Genomic DNA, 20,382 nt, shown 5'->3' with positions numbered 1-20,382 from the left:
ATCATGACCAAGTGGGATTCACAATATGCAAATCAATCAATGTGATACATCATATTAACAGACTGAAAGACAAAAACCATGTGATCATTTCAATTGACGCTGAAAAGGCATTTGATAAAGTTCAACATCCCTTCATGATAAAAATCCTCTAAAAACTGGCTACAGAAGAAACATACCTCAACGATAATAAAAGCCACATATGATAAACCCACAGCCAGTTTCACTCTGAATGGGAAAAAACTGAAAGCCTTTTCTCTAAGATCTGGAACATGGTAAGAATGCCCACTGTCATGACTGTTGTTCAGCATAGTACTGGAAGTTCTCACTAGAGCAATCAGATAAGAGAAAGAAATAAAGGGCATCCAAATTGGAAAGGAACAAGTCAAATTATCCTTGTTTGCAGATGGTATGGTATGATCTTATATTTGGAAAAATCTAAAGACTGGCCAAAAAAAAAAAAAACTCTTAGAACTGATAAATTCAGTAAAGTTACAGGATACAAATCAAAATACAAAAATCAGTAACATTTCTATATACCAACAGTGAATAATCTGAAAAAGAAATCAAACAAGTAATCCCATTTACAATAGCCACAAATTAAACACCTACGTATTAACCAAAGAAGTGAAAGATCTCTACAAGGATAACTATAAAACACTGATGAAAGAAATTGAAATGGAGAGATATTCCATGTTCATAGATGGAGGAGTCAATATTGTTAAAATGTCCATAGTACCCAAAGCAATGTACAGATTCAGTGTAATCCCTGTCAAAATATCAATGATATTCTTCACAGAAATATAAAACAAATCCTAACATTTATATGAAATCGCAAAAGCCCCAGAATAGCCAAAGCTATCCTGAGCAAAAGAAATAAAACTGAAGAAATTATATTATTTGACTTTAAATTATACTACAGAGCTACAGTAAACAAAACAGCATGGTAGTTGCAAAAAAGCCGACACATAGACCAATGGAACAGAAGAGAACCCAGAAAAAATTCCACACACCTACGATGAACTCATTTTCAAGAAAGGTGCCAAGAACATACAGTGGGGGAAAAGACAGTCTCTTCAATAAATGTTGCTGGGAAACTGGATAGCTATATGCAGATGAATGAATCTTGAACCCTCTCTCACCTTACACAAAAATCATATCAAAATGGATTAAAGACTTAAATCTACGACCTCAAATGATGACACTACTCCAAGAAAACATTGGAGAAACTCTCTAGCATATTGGTCTGTGCAAAAATTTCTTGAGTAATACTCCACAAGTATAGGTAACCAAAAAATAAATGGACCCATGGGATAACACCAAGTTAAAAAGCTTCTGCACAGCAAAGAAAACAATCTACAAAGTGAAGAGACAACCCACAAAATGAGAAAAAATATTTCCAAACTACCCATCTGATGAGGGATTAACAATCAGAATATATAAGGAGCTCAAACAACTCCACAGGAAAAAAAATCTAATAATCCAATTTAAAAATGGGTAAAAGATTCAAATAGACATTTCTCAAAACAAGACATACAAATGGCAAATAGGCATATAAAAAGGCCCTCAACATCACTGATCATCTGAGAAATGCAAATCAAAACTACAATGAAATATCATCTTGCCCCAGTTAAAATGACTTTTATTCAAGAGCCAGGCAATAACACATGCTGGGGATGATGTGGAGAAAAGGGAACCCTCATACACTGTTGGTGAGAATGTGAATTAGTAAAACCACTATGGAAAATAGTTTGAGGGTTGCTCAAAAAACTAAAAATAGAGCTACCATACAATCCAGCAATCCTATTGATATGTATATATCCCAAAAATAGGAAATCAGAATATCAAAGAGACATCTGCACTCCCATGTTAGTTGCAGGTCTGTTTTCAGTAGCCAAGATTTGGAAGCAACCTCTGTGTCCATCAGCGTATGACTGGAAAAAGAAAACGTAATACTCATACACGATGGAGTACTATTTAGTCATAAAAAAGGAGATTGTGTCATTTGCAACAACATAGATGGAACTGGAAGTCATTATGTTAAATGAAATAGGCCAGGCATAGAAAGACAAACATTGCATGTTTTCACTTATTCGTGGGGGTTAAAAATCAAAACAATTGAACTCATGGAGATAGAGAATAGAAGGATGGTTACCAGAGGCTTGGAGTGTGAGAAGGAGGTGGGGATGGTTAATGGGTACAAAAAATGTAGTTGGAAAGAATGAATAAGACTTAGTATTTGATAGCACAACAGGGGGACAATAGTCAATAGTGATTTAATTGTACATTTAAGAATAACTAAAAAAGTATAACTGGATTATTTGCAACACAAAGGATAAGTGCTTAAGGAGGATACCAAATTTTCCATGATATGATTATTACACATTGTATGCCTGTACCAAAATATCTCATGTACCCCATAAATATATACACCTACTATGTACCCACAAAAATAAAAATTTTTTTAAATGTTTTAAAGAATGGGTAAGAGTCTAACCTACCAAATGAGCACCAAAGTTTCTACGCATTAAACAAGAAAACCTTGTTGTATCCTAGATCATATATTGAAGTTCATGCAAAAACCATTGCTCTCTAGAGCAGAATTAGAGACAAAACACCTGAAGAAACACAAGGAAGCAAAACCAGAAACTGCTGCAACATCCTCAAGCCATCTAAGAAGCTCCAGCGTTTTTTCAATGTGGTTCTAACAGTGTGTGATTAGGATGCTGCAAAATTCTCACACTTGGTCAGACTACTCAGTTCTTCAACATGACAATTTACTATTTTTAGTTTTTTTGTACCAATGTTCTATTCCTATTTGGCATGATACCTAAAGGAAAACTATTCCTAAACTGAACATATATGACAGCCCTGATCTTATATTTGACACCTGTGTAAGACTACTCCTTCTCTAACTGATCAAACAGCAAATCTCCTGTATGATTTCTGCTTCCTCACCTAGTAAGGAAGAAATATCAAGCAACCAACATTATTGAAATTTAGTATTTTTCCTCAATCATATATCTTAATTTCTTAAGTGGTTAATAAAAGTTCACTTCTAATGTATTTGACTTTATTGTCTGTAGTTTGAATTTGTAAGCTCTCTAACAATGGCAAAGAGAATAATAAAATACAAGAGGAAACAAATTTTCCTTTATCCTTGCATTTCTATTTCTATTTACTCTATTTGGTATAATGAACTGGGACACACACATTACATAATTGTAGAAAATACCACAAAATGCATTTACAATATATTTGAAAACTAATTTACCGTTAGTTTAATAAAGTTAAATATTTGGCCTAGAAATGTCTTTTCAGATGTTTAAATTTTATGTTTTTTCATGGCATCCTTTTGGTTTTGACACCTAATATGATAATTTAGAATATGGCATAATTTTATTTTTAAAGCATAGCTGCTACGAATTATTAATAGTAAAAACATATTATATAACATTTAAATAGCTCTTTGATTTCTATCCTAACATAATAAGCCTTATTAGGTGTATGCCATTTTCAAACACTAAAATTTTTCCAACCTCTTTGTCCTTCAACTTTTGTAGTTCATTTTCCAGCACCAACTTCTCTTCTGATAACAACTGAAAATCACACTGCATCTGTTTGTATTCCTAAAAACAAATAATTTTAGTAATAATGAAGAGTAAAACTCTCAATGTAGAAAGGTTATTCAGATATTTAATTATTAAGGTAAGAAAGTCTTCATTAACTCATGAAAAGAATGAAACATTGATATCAGTCTGTAGAGTGACACAATAATTGGAGCTGAAAGGCATAAAAGATCTACACGTGTCAAGGACTGGAACTATTCAGATGACTGTAGGATATTATAGTTTAGTATTTCAGAAGTGAAGAGTTTCTGAGTGATAATGAGAGTAAAATGAACAAAATAGACAAGGCTTTCCAGAAAGTTCACATATGCATACAAATCTCTTAAATAAACTAAGTAAGGATTGGATCTTTATATAGGATTATGTATCCTGACAATTTCTAGAATCTGTTAAGAACTCAAGGACAAAGTGTAATTTCAAATTGAGAGTACTATACTTACAGCATCTAACAAAACTTGATCATTTACAGCTCTGAAAAATAAACCAAAAAAAGTGTGTTTATAATTGTACATTTATATTTTAATTTATGAAACACACACATTTTCTTTTTTTTTCTTTTGGTATTCAGTAATTAGTTGCTGCTGTTTTATTCTGCCCTCCCTTGCATCCCACTTTTTCTTTTTCTTTTTATTTATTTTATTATTATTATACTTTAAGTTTTAGGGTACATGTACACAACGTGCAGGTTTGTTACATATGTAACAAACATGTGCCATGTTGGTGTGCTGCACCCATTAACTCGTCATTTAGCATTAGGTATATCTCCTAATGCTATCCCTCCCCCCTCCCCCCACCCCATAACAGTCCCCGGTGTGTGATGTTCCCCTTCCTGTGTCCATGTGTTCTCATTGTTCAATTCCCACCTAACACACACATTTTCTTTGTAAAGATTTTAATACAGATGAAGTTTAACGGACACTTTGATTAGCACTTCAAAAATTTAATACTCTCCCTAGAAATATTGGATCACTGTTACCTTTCCAGGACTTGTTCTAGGCATTTACACAATACTGCATGTAACTTTTCCATTCTGTAATTTTTATTAGTGGGTTGGATTTCAGTTTTCTTTTTCACATAAATGACATCACTGTATATATTGTTCCAAACTTACTTTTTCACTTAACTTAATGTCTGAGATTTCTTCATGTCCATAAACATAGATCTTTCCCAGTTTTTTTAAGCGCTAATGATTATTCCATAGCAGGAGTTGTAAAGAACTAAATAGTAAGTATCTTAGATTCTGCAAGCCTGATGGTCTCTGTCACTATTCTTCAATGCGTATGGCTGTATTCCAATTAAACTTTATTTACAAAAATAAGTTTCAGGTTAGGTTTGACATTGTTCCACAGTTTGCTGACACAGTTTGGTGACATTGTTCCACAGTATGGATAGACCATAGATTATTTTCAACAAATAATCTATGTTTATCTATGTTACTGCCAAATAACATTCCATTATATGGATATCCCACATTTTATTTATCCAACACTTTAAGGACATTTTGTTTGTTTCCACTTTTCTGCCATTATGAATAATGCTATTATGAACATTTATGTACAAGTTTTTGTGTGAACATGTGTTTTCATTTATCTCATGTATAAACCTAGACACAGAATTTCTGAATCATATGCAGACTCTGTATTTAACATTTTGAGGAACCGGCAAACTTTTCCAAAGCAGATACATAATTTAAATTCCCATTATGAGGTTCCCAATCTCTCTACATACTTGCCAACAAATCATTGCGTTGTCTATTTGAATATAGCCATCCTAGTGGGTGTAAAGTGGTATCTCATTGTAGTTTTGATTTGCAATTAAAACTAGTGACAGCCAGGCCCAGTGGCTCATGCATGTAATCCCAGCACTTTGGGAGACCGAGGCAGGAAGATCAACTGAGGTCAGGAGTTTGAGACCAGCCTGGCCAACATGGTGAAACCCCATCTCTACGAAAAATACAAAAATTAGCCGGGTGTGGTGGCAGGTGCCTGTAGTCCCAGCAACTTGGGAGGCTGAGGCACAAGAATTGCTTGAACCCAGGAGGTGGAGGTTGCAGTGAGCTGAGATCATGTCACTGCACTCCAGCCTGGACAACAGAGCGAGACTCCATCTCAAAAAAAAAACAAAAAAAATCTAGTAACTAACAATGTTAAGTATCTTTTCATGTGCTTATTGGGCATTTCTATATCTTCTTTGGGGAAATATCTATTCAGATCCTTTGCCTATTTTTAATTGAATTATTTATCTTTTTATTATTGAGGTATAAGAGTTCTTTATATATTCTTCTAAGTACTTTAGCAGATATATGATTTGTGAATATTTTTCATATTCTATGAGTGGTTTTTTTTCATGTTTTTGATAGTATCATTTGCAGCACAAGAGTTTTTAATTTGGATAAAGTTGATCTAACTTTTTCTTTTGTTGATTGTACTTCTGATGTCATATTTAAGAAACCACTGCCTAACCCAATGTCACAAAGATTTACTCCTATGCTTCTTCTAAAATGCCTATAGTTTTAGCTCTTAAATTTAGTTCTTTGATAATTTTGACATTAGTGCATGGCAAAAATAAGTAATCCAAGGCCAGGCACGGTGGCTCACGCCTGTAATCCCAGCACTTTGGGAGGCGAGGTGGGCGGATCACGAGGTCAGGAGATCCAGACCATCCTGGCTAACACAGTGAAACCCCGCCTCTACAAAAAAAAAAAATTAGCCGGGTGTGGTGGCAGGCGCCTGTAGTCCCAGCTACTCGGAAGGCTGAGGCAGAAGAATGGCGTGAACCCGGGAGGCAGAGCTTGCAGTGAGCCAAGATTGTGCCACTGCACTCCAGCCTGAGCGACAGAGCGAGACTTCACCTCAAAAAAAAATAAAAATAAAAATAAGTAATCCAGCCTCGTTCTTTTGCATGGGGATAACCAGCTGCCCAAGTACCATTTATTAAAAAGACTTTTCTTTCCCCCATTGAATCATCTTACCTTGAAAATCAATTGTTCATAAATGTAAGGGTTTATTTGTGGACTTTCAACTCTATTCCATTGCTCTATATGTCTAGCCTTATGCCAGTAACACTTTGCCTTGGTTACTGTAGCTTTGTATTAAGTTTTAAAATCAGTTAAGTATGAGTCTTCTAACTTTGTTCTTAAGATTGCTTTGGCTATTCTAGCTTCCTTGCACTTCCACATGAGTTTTAGAATCAGCTTGTCAGTTTTTTAAAAATGTCAGCTGGAATTTTGAAAGTAATTACATTGAATCTGCAGGACAATTTGGGAAGTATTGCTATCTTAAGATTATTAAAGCCAGGTGTGGTGGCTCACACCTGTAATCACAGAACTTTGGGAGGCCAAGGCAGGAGGATCACTTGAAGCCTGGAGTTCAAGACGAGCCTAGGCAACACAGCAAGACCCTGTCCCTACAAAAAAAATTTTTTAATTGCCAGGCATGGTGGTTCATGCCTGTAGTCCTAGCTGCTTAGAAGGCTGAGGCAGGAAGATGCCTTGGGCCTAGGAGTTAGCAGCTGAAGTGAGCTATGATTACATCACTGCACACCAGCCTGGGTGACAGAGTGAGACCCTGTTTCTTAAAAAGAAAATAAAAAATATTAAGTTTAACAGTCTATGAAGATGAGATATCTATCCATTTCTGTAGGTGTTCTTTAAGTTCTTTCAATGATGTTTTGTAGTTTCAGTGCCCAAGTCTTGCATTTCTTTTAAATTCAGGTATGATCTCTTTGGTGCTATTATAAATGGAATTGTTTTCTTTATTTCACTTTTGAAATGTTCATAGTTAGTGTATTTGTTTCCTAGGGCTGTAGTAATAAAAGACCACATATGGGTGATTTAAAACAACAAGAATTTATTTTCTCACAGCCTGATGACTTGAAATCCAAAATTAAAGTGTTGGCACAGCCATGCTCCCTCTGAAATATCTGGGGAAGGAAACCACCATGCCTATTCTAGCCACTGTTAGTCCCTGGCATTCTTTGGATTGTGGCAGAATAAATCCAGTCTCTGTCTCTATCTTTACATTAGCAGTATTTCCTCCATGTTTATCTGTCTTTTCCAATTCCTATAAGGACATTAGTCACGTTGGATTAAGGGCCCATCCTACTCCAGTATGACCTCATCTCAACTAATAATATCGGGAATAACCCTGTTTCCAAATAAGGTCACCCTGAGGTAGCAGGGGGTGAGAACTTCAACATATCTTTTGAGGGGATACAATTCAACCCATAACAGCTAGTGTATAGAAATACAAATTGTTTTTGTTTATTGATCATGTATATTGCAGCCTTGATGAATTCATTCATTACTTCCAATAGGTTTTAGCAGAACTCAGGATGTTTTTATATCTAAAATCATGTCATTTGCAAATAGAGGTAGTTTTACTTCTTCCTCACCAATGCAGACACTTTTATTTCCTTTTCTTCCATAATTGCCCTTGCTAGAACCTCCACTATAATGATGAATAGAAGTGAATGTCTTGTCTTGTTCCTGATCATAGGGAGAAATTATTCATTCTCACCACTGAGTATGATGTTGACCATGGGGTTTGTAGATGGCCTTCATCAGGTTAAGGAAGTTTCCTTCTATTCCTGGTTTGTGGAACTTTGTATCATAAAAAGATGTTGAATTTTGTCAAGTGCATTTACTGAATCTAGCGAACTGATGTAATTTTTTCTCCTTTATTTAATCAATATTACACATTATGTAAATTGATACCTGCATTTTAAATCAACCTTGCATTCCTAAAATAAATCTCACATGTTCATCATAGATAATCTTTTTTATATGCTGTTGGATTCAGTTTGCTAGTATTTTGGTAAGGATTTTCATGTTCATATTCATAACATATATTTATCTTCTTAAAATAAATATCATATTTATGTTCTTGTGATTGTCTAATTTTGGTATCAGAGTAACACTAATCTCATAGAATGAATTGAGAAGTGTGAACTCTTTAATTTTTTAGAAGAGTTTGTACAGGCCTGGTATTAACTCTTCTTTAAATATTTGACAGGATTAAAAAGTGAAGTCATCTGGCCTAAGCATTTCTTGGTGGGAATATGTTAATTACTAATTAAATCTTTTACTACTTATAAGTTCAGTCACATGTTCTTGTTCTTCTTGATACAGTTTAGTTTGGGTTTTTCTAGAGATATATATCATCTAAGTTATCTAATTTGTGGTCACATAGTTATTCATAGTATTCCCTTATTATCCATTTACCATAGATTATTGAGCCATACTCCTACTAACAAAAACAGGTTCTTTCTAGTTCTGCTACCATCGCACTGATGCAAAAAAAATTCCTTTTATATGCTTTCTTGAGCACATTGTACTCCTTTCCCGAGGGTAGATAAAAAGAGATTTGCTATATAACATGGCATACACTTTTGTTATTACTAAACTGTGCTAAATTGTCCTCGAAAGGGGGAAATTTCTATTATATTAGCATGGTAAGAGTATTCATTCCACTACCTCTCTGCCAATAGTTGATATTAGAAAACTTCTAAATTTTGTAGACAAAAAAGTCATGGCTTTGTCTTATATCTTCCCTGATCACGGTGAGATTGAGCATCTCTTAAAATGTTTATTGGCCAATTTTTTTGTCTTTCCCTTAGTTACCTCCTCTTTATATACTTTGCCTATTTTTCTTATGTGTTTTTAGGGAGTTATAGATTCTTATTAGTACTCCTTTTTTCTACTGTATGAGCACAAATCTTTTCTCCCAGTCTACTGCTTACCTTGTAACTTTGCTTCAATTTTGAACGAGGTGTTTTCAGTTTTGGGAGTTGAATTCCCTCCCTTTTTATGGTTTTATTTTCTTACATTTAGGTCTGTAATCAATGTTACTTTTTTAAATGATGTGAATTCAGAATCTGTCATTACTTTTTAACCACATGGATGCCTTTGCCTTGCCTATGCCCTAGCTAATCACTGAAATTCATTCACGAATGTGAATTTGCCATGTTAGAATTATTATGATTCCAATTCTGACATAAGGTGACTATTTGTGATGCATGCACTTGGGCTAAAGACGCTTTGAAAGGCAAAACAGCCTATTACCTTCACTTGTAACATCTATGCCTCCCTAGAAAAATGTCATGAAGGAATTCTTAACAGGACTGCTTTCCTGTCCAGACCACATGATTCAGGTAATGTACATTGTTCTTATCTAACTTAACAACTTCATCTCTAAGACTGAACACTAGTTCTAAGCATTCTGTTCACCAAAAAGGAATCATATCTTCACAAACCATCCAACAAATCAATATCTAATTGAGATCTCAATTTGTCCCACAATTACAAAAGAATTTCAAGGCCCTCTAGATCTATGCCTATTTATTTATTTCTCAATATGCACAGGTGAACAGCTAGACAATGCACTGACAAGATCCTGAAGAATATGTCTATTAGCTCCCCCAAAGACCAACATGATTGTCCTATCCTGCTACTATATAAATTTATGCATAATAATTTAATAAAATCCTAGTTTCTATATTTTATCCTATACTTTTAAATCACTTTATTGGTATGTAATTTGTGTATAAAAAGCTATACATTGGTGAGATCATCGGAAAGCGCCGCTGGTGGCGCGGGCAGAGCTGGCGCGTCATTGTCGTCATCGTTGCCCGACCGCTTTCCGGGAGGCTGGAGTCGAAGGCCGTGAGTCAGCCATAACGGCAGGTGAAGAAATTAATGAAGACTATCCAGTAGAAATTCACGAGTATTTGTCAGCGTTTGAGAATTCCATTGGTGCTGTGGATGAGATGCTGAAGACCACGATGTCTGTTTCTAGAAATGAGTTGTTGCAGAAGTTGGATCCACTTGAACAAGCAAAAGTGGATTTGGTTTCTGCATACACATTAAATTCAATGTTTTGGGTTTATTTGGCAACCCAAGGAGTTAATCCTAAGGAACATCCAGTAAAACAGGAATTGGAAAGAATCAGAGTATATATGAACAGAGTCAAGGAAATAACAGACAAGAAAAAGGCTGGCAAGCTGGACAGAGGTGCAGCTTCAAGATTTGTAAAAAATGCCCTCTGGGAACCAAAACCGAAAAATGCATCAAAAGTTGCCAATAAAGGAAAAAGTAAAAGTTAACTTTTTGGTTTTGGTGTACACATATTCAAAAAGTACATTTCCCCGCCCCCCCCGCCCCCCACAGAATAATTCTGTGGCAGGACAAGGTTTAAATGTGTTTCTTATTAATATGTAAATTCACAGTAAATATGTAAAGCTAAATACTTTCCTCTCCAAAGATCATTATCTTTATTGATTTGCACTGAGGATTTTAACATTGTGATATATTATATATTTATAATTTACCATCTCTTTTGATGAGACTCTTATTTCTTTATATAGGTCAGTCTTGCAAGTACCATTTTATAAGCAGCTGTGAAATTTAAGTGAAATGTTCTTTGTAAACATTTGTACTATTTTAAATGAATAATGACCTTATGAAGTATGCTATCTGTAGGCTGAAATTATAGGCACATCTGTTTTCACTATATGATATTAAGAAAGCATGAAATGACTTAAATGTTCATTTTTTTCTGTATAGATACTTTATCATGTTTTCATGATTTTAGGAATTACTGCTTTGTTGATATTCAAAGTGTAAAACTAAAACTTTATGGTTGTACTTTAATTCTTGGCATGTTGCCTCTATGTCCCATTTAAAATAAAATACATTCTCATTAACTTTAGATGGGAAATAAGGTTGTATGTTGATGGATGAATTTTGGCATGATGACTGTACTCTCAATAAAGGCTGAAAATGTTGTATAAAAACAAAACAAAACAAAAAGCTATACATTTTTATTGTATCTATCCCAATGAATTGGGGATATGAATATACCCATGAAAATATCATCATCATCAAGGCCACAAAGAGATCCTCATTTCCAAATGTTTCCGTCTGCCCTCATTAATACCATAATTGTTTGTCATGGTTTCTGCTGCTGCTGTTGCTATTAAGAAAAATTAACAAAACACCTACCCTCTTAGAAAATTTTAAGTATACAATGCAGTATTGTTCACTATGGGAATTCTGCTGTATAATAGATCTACAAAGCTTATTTATCTTGGAAAACTGAAACTTTGTGCATTTTAGCCTACACCTTTTCAGCTCCTAAATTATTTTGCTTTCTGTGCCTGGATTCTTTCACTTAACATAATGCCTTCCAGGTCCATCCATGTTGTCACAAATGGAAGGATTTTCTAATTTCTTAAGGGTGAATAATATTCTGTTGTATGCATAGGCACATTATATCCATTCATCCATTATGGATACTTAAGTTGTTTCCATATTTTGGCTACTGCAATGAAAATGGGAGTGCAGATATCCCCCTGACATATTGATTTAAGTTCCTTTGGATACATACCCAGAAGTGGCACTTATGGGTCATATGGTAGTTCTATTTTAAATTTTTATGCACTTCCATACTGTTTTCCATAATGGCTCTACCAATTTACATTCCCACCAGTAGTGTTGAAGGGTTCCCTTTTCTCCAAATCCTTGCTAATAATTGTTACCATTTTTTCTTAATAACAGCCAACCTAACAAGTATGATGTATTATTTCATTGTGATTTTGATTTACATTTCTCTGATGATTGGTGATATAAAGTACCTTTTCCCATACCCATGTATATTTGTATGTCTTCTTTGGAAAAATATCTATTCAAGTCCTTTAATTACTTTTTATCTTCAATTCAGTTGTATGAGTCCCTTGTATATTTTTTATATTGACCCATTATCAGATGTACAGTTTGAAAATATTTTCTCCCATTCCATAGTTTTCCATTTCATTTTATTATTTCCTTTTTTAGGCAGGACTTTTAAGTTTGATGTAATCTCAGTTGTTTATTCTTGCTTTTTTTCCTGTTTTTTTTTTTTTTGGTGTAATGTCCAAAAAAATCATTGCCCAGACCAATGTCATGGAGCTTATTTCCTATGTTTTCATCGAGGAGTTTTACGGTTTCAGCTCATACAGGTAAGTTTTTAATGCATTTTGAATTTATTTTTATGCATGGCATGAAGGTCCAACATCATTCTTTTGCATATAGAGATCCACTTTTCCCAGTATCATTTGTTGGAGATACTATCCTTTCCCCATTGTTTATTTCTGACACTATTGCTGAAGATCACTTGTACCTATGCTTGGGTTTGTTTCTGCGCTTGCTAATCTGTTTCATGGGTCTATATGTCTGATTTTATGCCAGTACCATACTGTATTAATTACTGTAGCTTTAAAACATAATTTGAAATCAGAAAGTAAGGGCCAGGTGCAGTGGCTCAGGCCTGTAATCCCAACACTTTGGGAGGTTGAGGCAGGTGGATCATCTGAGGCTACTCAGGAGGCTGAGGCAGGAGAATCACTCAAACCCAGGAGGCAGAGGTTGCAGTGAGCCAAGATCATGGCACTGCACTCCAGCCTGGGTGACAGAACAAGACTCCATTTCAAAAAAAAAAAAAAAAAAAATGCCAGGCACAGTGGCTCATGCCTGTAATCCTAGCACTTTGGGAGGCCAAGGCGGGAAGATCACTTGAGGTCAGCAGTTCAAAACCAGCCTGGCCAACATGGTAAAACCCCGTCTCTACTAAAAATACAAAAAAATTAGCCAGGCATGGTGGCGGGCGCTTGTAATCCCAGCTACTTGGGAGGCTGAGGCAGGAGAATTGCTTGATTGCTTGAACCTGGGAGAAGGAGGTTGCAGTGAGCTGAGATGGTGCCATTGCACTCCAGCCTGGGCGACAGAGTGAGACTCCGTATCAAAAAAAAAAATAAGAAAGTAATGTGCTTCCAGCCTTACTACTCTTGCTAAAATTTGCTTTGGCTATTCAAGGCCTTTTGAAATTGCATATGAATTTTAGGATTTGTTTTATGTCTGTGAAAAATGTCATTGGTATTTTCATAGGATTCACACAGAATCTGTAGATCACTTTGGGTACATGGACTTATTTGCAACACTATTAACTCTTCTAATCCATGAACATACAATACTGTCCCGTTTCTTTGTGTCTTCTTCAATATATCTCATGTGTTTTATAGTTTTCTGTGTGCATATCTTTTACTTCCTTGGTTAAATTTATTATTAAATATTTCATTTCTTTTCATGCTACTCTAAATGTTTTCTTCTTCACAGTTATTGTTAGTGTGTAGAAACACAACTGATATGGGGATGCTGATTTTGTAACCTGCAACTTTACTGAATACATTTATTAGTTCTAAGAGTTTTGGGAGTGGCACCATTCTATATTTGATGGGGGTGGGGGAAGCATCCTTAGGGTTTTCTATATATGAACTCATGTCATCTATAAACACATGATTTTACTTCTTCTATTCTGATTTGGATACCTTTAATTTCTTTTTCTTGACTAATTGCTTGGCTACTGCATTTGACTTCTGGTACTACATTGAATAGAATTGGTAAGAGTAGGCATCCTTGTCTTTTTCCTGTTGTTAGAGAAAAAGTCTTCAACTATTCACCACTGAGTGTAATGTTAGCTGTAGGCTAATATGGCCTTTTTATGTGGGGAAAATTCCTTGTATACCTAATTTGTTGTAAGTTTTTACTATGAAAAGATTTTGAATGCTGCGAAATGCTGTTTCTGCATCTATTGAAATGATCATATGATTACTGTCCTTCAAAATGGTAACAGTGAGCCATGCACAGTGGCTCATGCCTGCAATCACAGCACTTTGGGAGGTCAAGGTGGTGGATCACCTGAGGTCAGGAGTTCAAGACCAGCCTGGTCAACATGGAGAAACTGCATCTCTACTAAAAATACAAAAATTAGCCAGGCATAGTGGCAGGTGCCTGTAATTCCAGCTACTCAGGAGGCTAAGGCAGGAGAATTGCTTGAACCCAGGAGGCAGAGGCTGCAGTAAGCCAAGATTGCACCACTGCACTCCAGCCTGGGCAACAGAGTGAGAATCCAACTCAAAAAACAAAATGGTAATAGTAAGTCCTTACATATAAATAATTACTTTGAATGTATATTTAAGTGTAAATTGATTAAATCTCCAACAAAAACATGTCAAGTGGCTGAATGGATTTTTTTTTTAAGAACCCAACTACATGCTGCCCACAAGAGACTCACAAAAACTTTAAGAACACACAGGCCAGGCGCGGTGGCTCATGCCTGTAATCCCAGCACTTTGGGAGGCCATGGTGGGCGGATCACAAGCTCAAGAGATCGAGACCATCTTGGCCAACATGGTGAAACCCCGTCTCTACTAAAAATACAAAAATTAGCTGGGTGTGGTGGCGCGCACTTGTAGTCCCAGCTACTCAGGAGGCTGACGCAGGAGAATCACTTGAACCCGGGAGGCAGAAGTTGCAGTGACCTGAGATCGCGCCACTGCACTCCAGCCTGGAACACACAAAAGCTAAAAGTGAAGGGATGGAAAAAGATACTCCATGCAAATCAAAACCAAAAGAAGGCATGAGTGGCTATACTTATATAAGAAGAGAGATTTTAAGTTATTAGCTGCCTCATGAGACAAAGGTCGTTATATAATTATAAAGGGGTCGCCTCTCCCTCTCCCTCTCCCCTTTCTTTCTACGGTCTCCCTCTCTTGCCAAGCCTGGACTGTACTGCCATGATCTCGGCTTGCTGCAACCTCCCTGCCTCGGGCTCCCGTGATTCTCCTGCCTTGGCCCGCCGAGTGCCTGGGATTCCAGGCACACACCGCCACTACTGACTGATTTTTGTATTTTTGGTGGAGATGGGGTTTCGCCGTGTTGACTGGGCTGGTCTCCAGCTCCTGGCCTTGAGTGATCTGCCCCCCTCGGCCTCCCGAGGTGCTGGGATTGCAGACGGAGTCTCACTCACTCAATGCTCAATGTTGCCCAGGCTGGAGTGCAGTGGCGTGATCTCGGCTCGCTACAACCTCCACCTCCCAGCCACCTGCCTTGGCCTCCCAAAGTGCTAAGATTACAGCTTCTGCCCGCCTGCCACCCCGTCTAGGAAGTGAGCAGCGTCTCTGCCTGGCTGCCCATCGTCTGGGATGTGAGGAGCCCCTCTGCCCGGCTGCCCCGTCTGGAAGTGAAGAGCGCCTCTGCCCGGCCACCACCCCATCTAGGAAGTGAGGAGCGTCTCTGCCTGGCCGCCCATCGTCTGGGATGTGAGGAGCGCCTCTGCCCGGCCGCCCCGTCTGGGAAGTGAGTAGCGCCTCTGCCCGGCCACCCCGTCTGGGAGGAAGTGAGGAGTGCCTCTGCCTGGCTGCCCCGAATGGGAAGTGAGGAGCGCCTCTGCCCGGCTGCCCCGAATGGGAAGTGAGCAGCGCCTCTGCCTGGCCGCCCTGTCTGGGAAGTGAGGAGCACCTCTGCCCGGCCGCCACCCCATCTAGGAACTGAGGAGCGTCTCTGCCCAGCCGCCCCAAATGGGAAGTGAGGAGCGCCTCTGCCTGGCCACCCCGTCTGGGAAGTGAGGAGCGCCTCTGCCCGGCCGCCCCGTCTGGGATGTGAGGAGCACCTCTGCCCGGCCGCCACCCTGTCTGGGAGGCAAGGAGCGCCTCTGACTGGCAGCCCCGTCTGGGAACTGAGGAGCACCTCTGCCCGCCCACCCATCATCTGGGAAGTGAGGAGAGCCTCTGCCCAGCCACCCATCATCTGGGATGTGAGGAGCGCCTCTGCCCGGCCGCCCCGTCTGGGAAGTGAGAAGCGCCTCTGCCCAGCCGCCCCATCTGGGAGGTGTACCCAACAGCTCCGAAGAGACAGCGACCATCGAGAACGGGCCATGATGACAGTGGCGGTTTTGTCGAAAAGAAAAGGGGGAAATGTGGGGAAAAGAAAGAGAGATCAGATTGTTACTGTGTCTGTGTAGAAAGAAGTAGACATAGGAGACTCCATTTTTGTTCTGTACTAAGAAAAATTCTTCTGCCTTGGGATGCTGTTAATCTATAACCTTACCCCCAACCCCGTGCTCTCTGAAACATGTGCTGTGTCAACTCAGGGTTAAATGGATTAAGGGTGGTGCAAGATGTGCTTTGTTAAACAGATGCTTGAAGGCAGCATGCTCGTTAAGAGTCATCACCACTCCCTAATCTCAAGTACCCAGGGACACTGTGGAAGGCCGCAGGGACCTCTGCCTAGGAAAACCAGAGACCTTTGTTCACGTGTTTATCTGGTGACCTTCTCTCCACTATTATCCTATGACCCTGCCACATCCCCCTCTCCGAGAAACACCCAAGAATGATCAATAAATACTAAAAAATAAATAAATAAATAAATAAATAAAAATTAGCTGGGCATAAAAAAAATTATAAAGGGGTCAATCCATCAAGAGGTTATAACAATTTTAAATAATATGCATCGAGATAAGACTACCTGAATACATACAGCAACTATTAATAGATCTGAATCGAGAGACAGACAGCAATATAATAATAGCCTATTTACAGTAATGCCTCATTTACAACAATAGACAGTTCATCCAGACAACAAATGAATACGGAAACATCGGACTTGAACGATACTTTAGGCCAAATGGACCTAACTGACACATACAAAACATTCCACCCAACAGCAGCAGAACATACGTTCTCCTTGAGTGAATATGAAATATTTCCCATGATACGTTATGTGTTAGACCACAAAACATGTCTTAATATACTTAAGAAGACTGAAGTCATATCAAGTATATTTTCCAATGACAATAATTTGAAACTAGAAATCAATGACAGGAGAAAAACTGGAAAAATTCACAAATATGTAGAAATTAACACACTCCTAAACAAATGATGAGTCAAAAAAGAAATCCAAAGGGAAATCAGAAAGTATCTTCAGACAAACAAAAATGGAAATACAACATACTAAAACTCATGAAATGCAGCAAAAGCAGTTCTAAGTGGGAAGTTTATTGCAATAGATGTCTACTTAAAAAAGAAATAATGATCTCAAATAAATAACCTAATGTGATACACCAAAGAACGAGAAAAATAACAAATTAAGCCAATAGTTCATAGAAGGAAGAAAATTACAAAGAGCAGAAATAGGCCGGGCATGGTGGCTCATGCCTGTAATCCCAGCACTTTGGGAGGCCGAGGCAGGCAGATCACATGGTCAGATCAAGACCATCCTGGCTAACACGGTGAAACCCCATCTCTACTAAAAATACAAAAAATTAGCCGGGCGTTGTGGCAGGCACCTGTAGTCTCAGCTACTCAGGAGGCTGAGGCAGGAGAATGGCATGACCTGGGAGGCAGAGCTTGCAGTGAGCCAAGATCGCGCCACTGCACTCCAGCCTGGGCGACAGAGCAAAACTCCATCTCAAAAAAAAAAAAAAAAAAAACCAGCAATAAATAATAGAGACTAGAAAAACAATAGAAAAGGTTAACAAAACTAAAAGTTTTCTGAAAAGATAAAATCAGCAAATCTTTAGCTGGACTAAGAAAAAAGAGAGAGAAGGCCCAAATAACCTCAGTAAAGAAAAATGAGACATTACAACTGATACCATAGAAATAAAAAAAAGATAATAAGAAACTACCACAAACAAATTACATTCTAACAAACTGAACAACCTAGAAGAAAATTAGGAAATTCCTGGAAACATACAACCTACCAAGACTGAAGAAATAGAAAATCTGAAAAGACCAATAATGACCAAGAAGTGTCAATCAATAATAAAAAAATCTCCTATCAAAGAAATGCCCAAGACTTCCTGGCTTCATGGCTGAATTCTACCAAATATTTAAAGAAGAACTAATACAATCCTTCTCAAACTCTTCAAAAATCTTGAAGAGGAAGAAATACTTCTAAACTATTTCACAAGTCTTCATTAATCACCCTGATAACAAAGTCAGACATGGACATCACAAGAAAAGAAAATTATCCCTGATGAATATAGATGTAAAAATCTTCAACACAATACTAGCAAAACAAATTTAACAGTACATTAAAGGGATCATTCACCATGATCAAGTGGAATTTATCCCTGGAGTGCAAGGATGATTCAGCAAATCAATAAATGTTGGGCATCATATTAGCAGAATGAAAGACAAAACCATATGATCATAAGATGCAGAAAAAGCATTTGACAAAATTCAACATCCTTTCATAATAAGACCCATCAATAAATAGGTATAGAAGGAATGTACCTTAATATAATAAAATCCATATATCAGAACCCCATAGCTAACATTATTATACTCAACAGTGAAAAGTTGAAAGCTTTTCTTCTAAGATCAAAAACAAGGATACCCACTCTCACCACTTCTATTCAACATAGTACTAGAAGTCCAAGCCAGGACAATTAGTCAAGAAAAACAAATAAAATGCATCAAAATAGAAAAAGAATAAGTAAAATCATATTTGTTTCCAGATGATATACTTTCCTATATAGAAAACTCTAAAGATGTCCCCAAAAACTTGCAGAACAAATGAATCCAACAAAGTTGCAGGATACAAAAACCAATACAAAAATCAGTTGTGTTTCTATAAATTAACAACAAACTATCTAAAAAAGAAGGCAAGAAAACAATCCCATTTATAATAGCATAAAAAGAAATAAAATACTTGGGAATACACTTAATCAAAGAAGTGAAAGATCTTTTGCACTGAAAACTATAAGATGTTGATGAAATAAATTGAAGAACACACAAAGAATTGAAAATACATCCCATATTCATGAGTTGAAACAATATCGTTAAAATGTTCATGCTACCCAAAATAACTTAGAGATTCAATGTAATCCCTAGGAAAATTTCAATGACATTTTTCACAGAAATAAAAATAGATCCTAAAATTCATATGGGACCACAAAAGACCCTGAGTAGCCAAAGCAATCACAAGCAAAAAGAACAAAGGTGGAGGCATCACATTATCTCAAAATCTAATACACAAAGCTGTAGTAATCAAAACTGCATGACCCTAGCATCAAAACAGATACAGCCAAAAAGATGGCCAAATAGGAACAGCTCCAGTCTGCAGCTCCCAGCGAGATCAACACAGAAGGTGGATGATTCCTACATTTCCAACTGAGGTACCCAGTACATCTCAATAGGACTGGTTGGACAGTGGATGCAGCCCATGGAGGGTGAGCTGAAGCAGGGTGGGGTGTTGTCTCACCTGGGAAGTGCAAGGGGTCAGGGGATTTCCCTTCCCTAGCCAAGGGAAGCCATGAGAGACTGTACTGGGAGAAATGGTGCATTCTGGCCCAGACACTGCACTTTTCCCATGGTCTTCACCACCGGCAGACCAGGAAATTCTCTTGGTGCCTGGCTTAATGGGTCCCACCCCCACAGAGTCCAGCAAACTAAGATCCGCTGGCTTGAAATTATCTCTGCTAGCACAGCAGTCTAAGGTCAACCTGGGATACTCGACCTTGGTAGGGGGAGGGGCATCCACCATTGCTGAGGCTTGAGTAGGTGGTTTTACCTTACAGTGTAAACAAAGCCGCCAGGAAGTTCGAACTGGTTGGAGCCCACCGCAGCTCCCTGGGACAGAGCACCTGGGGGAAGGGGCGACTGTGGGCACAGCTTCAGCAGACTTAAACATCCCTGCCTGACAGCTCCGAAGAGAGGAGCAGTTCTCCCAGCAAAGTGTTCAAGCTCTGACAACGGACAGACTGCCTTCTCAAGTGGGTCCCTGACCATCCACGTATCCAGACTGGGAGATACCTCCCAGTAGGGGCCGATAGACACCTCATACAGGAGAGCTCTGGCTGGCATCTGGCTGGTGCCCCTCTGAGATGAAGCTTCCAGAGGGAGGAACAGGCAGCAATCTTTGTTGTTCTACAGCCTCTGCTGG

The 20,382-nt window shown here is 38.0% G+C and overlaps 1 protein-coding gene and 1 pseudogene across 45 annotated transcripts in view, besides 2 other annotated features; one reads left to right on the top strand and one right to left on the bottom strand.

Annotated features, from left to right (window-relative positions):
- Positions 1-20,382, bottom strand: part of CCDC7 (coiled-coil domain containing 7) — a 439,541-nt gene that overhangs the window by 360,823 nt on the left and 58,336 nt on the right. For 41 of the 45 annotated variants that reach the window (NR_109826.2, XM_047425743.1, XM_047425742.1 and 38 more), the window contains 2 exons: positions 4,067-4,097; positions 3,537-3,626 (listed from right to left, as the gene is read on the bottom strand). The exons of 2 other annotated variants lie outside the window; for them this stretch is intronic. Coding sequence is in view for 41 of the 43 variants with exons in the window: in XM_047425743.1 (XP_047281699.1) it covers positions 3,537-3,626; positions 4,067-4,097 (121 nt within the window). In the remaining 2 variants the exon portion in view is untranslated. Of the gene's footprint in view, positions 1-3,536; positions 3,627-4,066; positions 4,098-7,454; positions 10,534-20,382 lie in introns of those variants that run through there. 2 more of the 45 variants (XM_011519668.1, NR_109827.2) reach the window with 2 other exon arrangements.
- Positions 5,375-5,610: a silencer, noted in NCBI's record as "fragment chr10:32805360-32805595 (GRCh37/hg19 assembly coordinates)". NCBI's record gives its function as "represses an EF-1alpha promoter that drives an FKBP-Casp9 reporter gene in an ReSE screen in HepG2 liver carcinoma cells {active_cell/tissue: HepG2}" and the evidence as "EXISTENCE:reporter gene assay evidence [ECO:0000049][PMID:32094911]".
- On the top strand, positions 10,246-11,414 carry C1DP1 (C1D nuclear receptor corepressor pseudogene 1; annotated as a pseudogene).
- Positions 19,808-19,999: a silencer, noted in NCBI's record as "fragment chr10:32790971-32791162 (GRCh37/hg19 assembly coordinates)". NCBI's record gives its function as "represses an EF-1alpha promoter that drives an FKBP-Casp9 reporter gene in an ReSE screen in HepG2 liver carcinoma cells {active_cell/tissue: HepG2}" and the evidence as "EXISTENCE:reporter gene assay evidence [ECO:0000049][PMID:32094911]".

Source organism: Homo sapiens, chromosome 10, assembly GCF_000001405.40.
Source record: "Homo sapiens chromosome 10, GRCh38.p14 Primary Assembly".
Taxonomy (NCBI): domain Eukaryota; kingdom Metazoa; phylum Chordata; class Mammalia; order Primates; family Hominidae; genus Homo; species Homo sapiens.
Note: the sequence above shows the minus strand (reverse complement) of the source record. Positions and strands in the feature narration are given on the sequence as shown.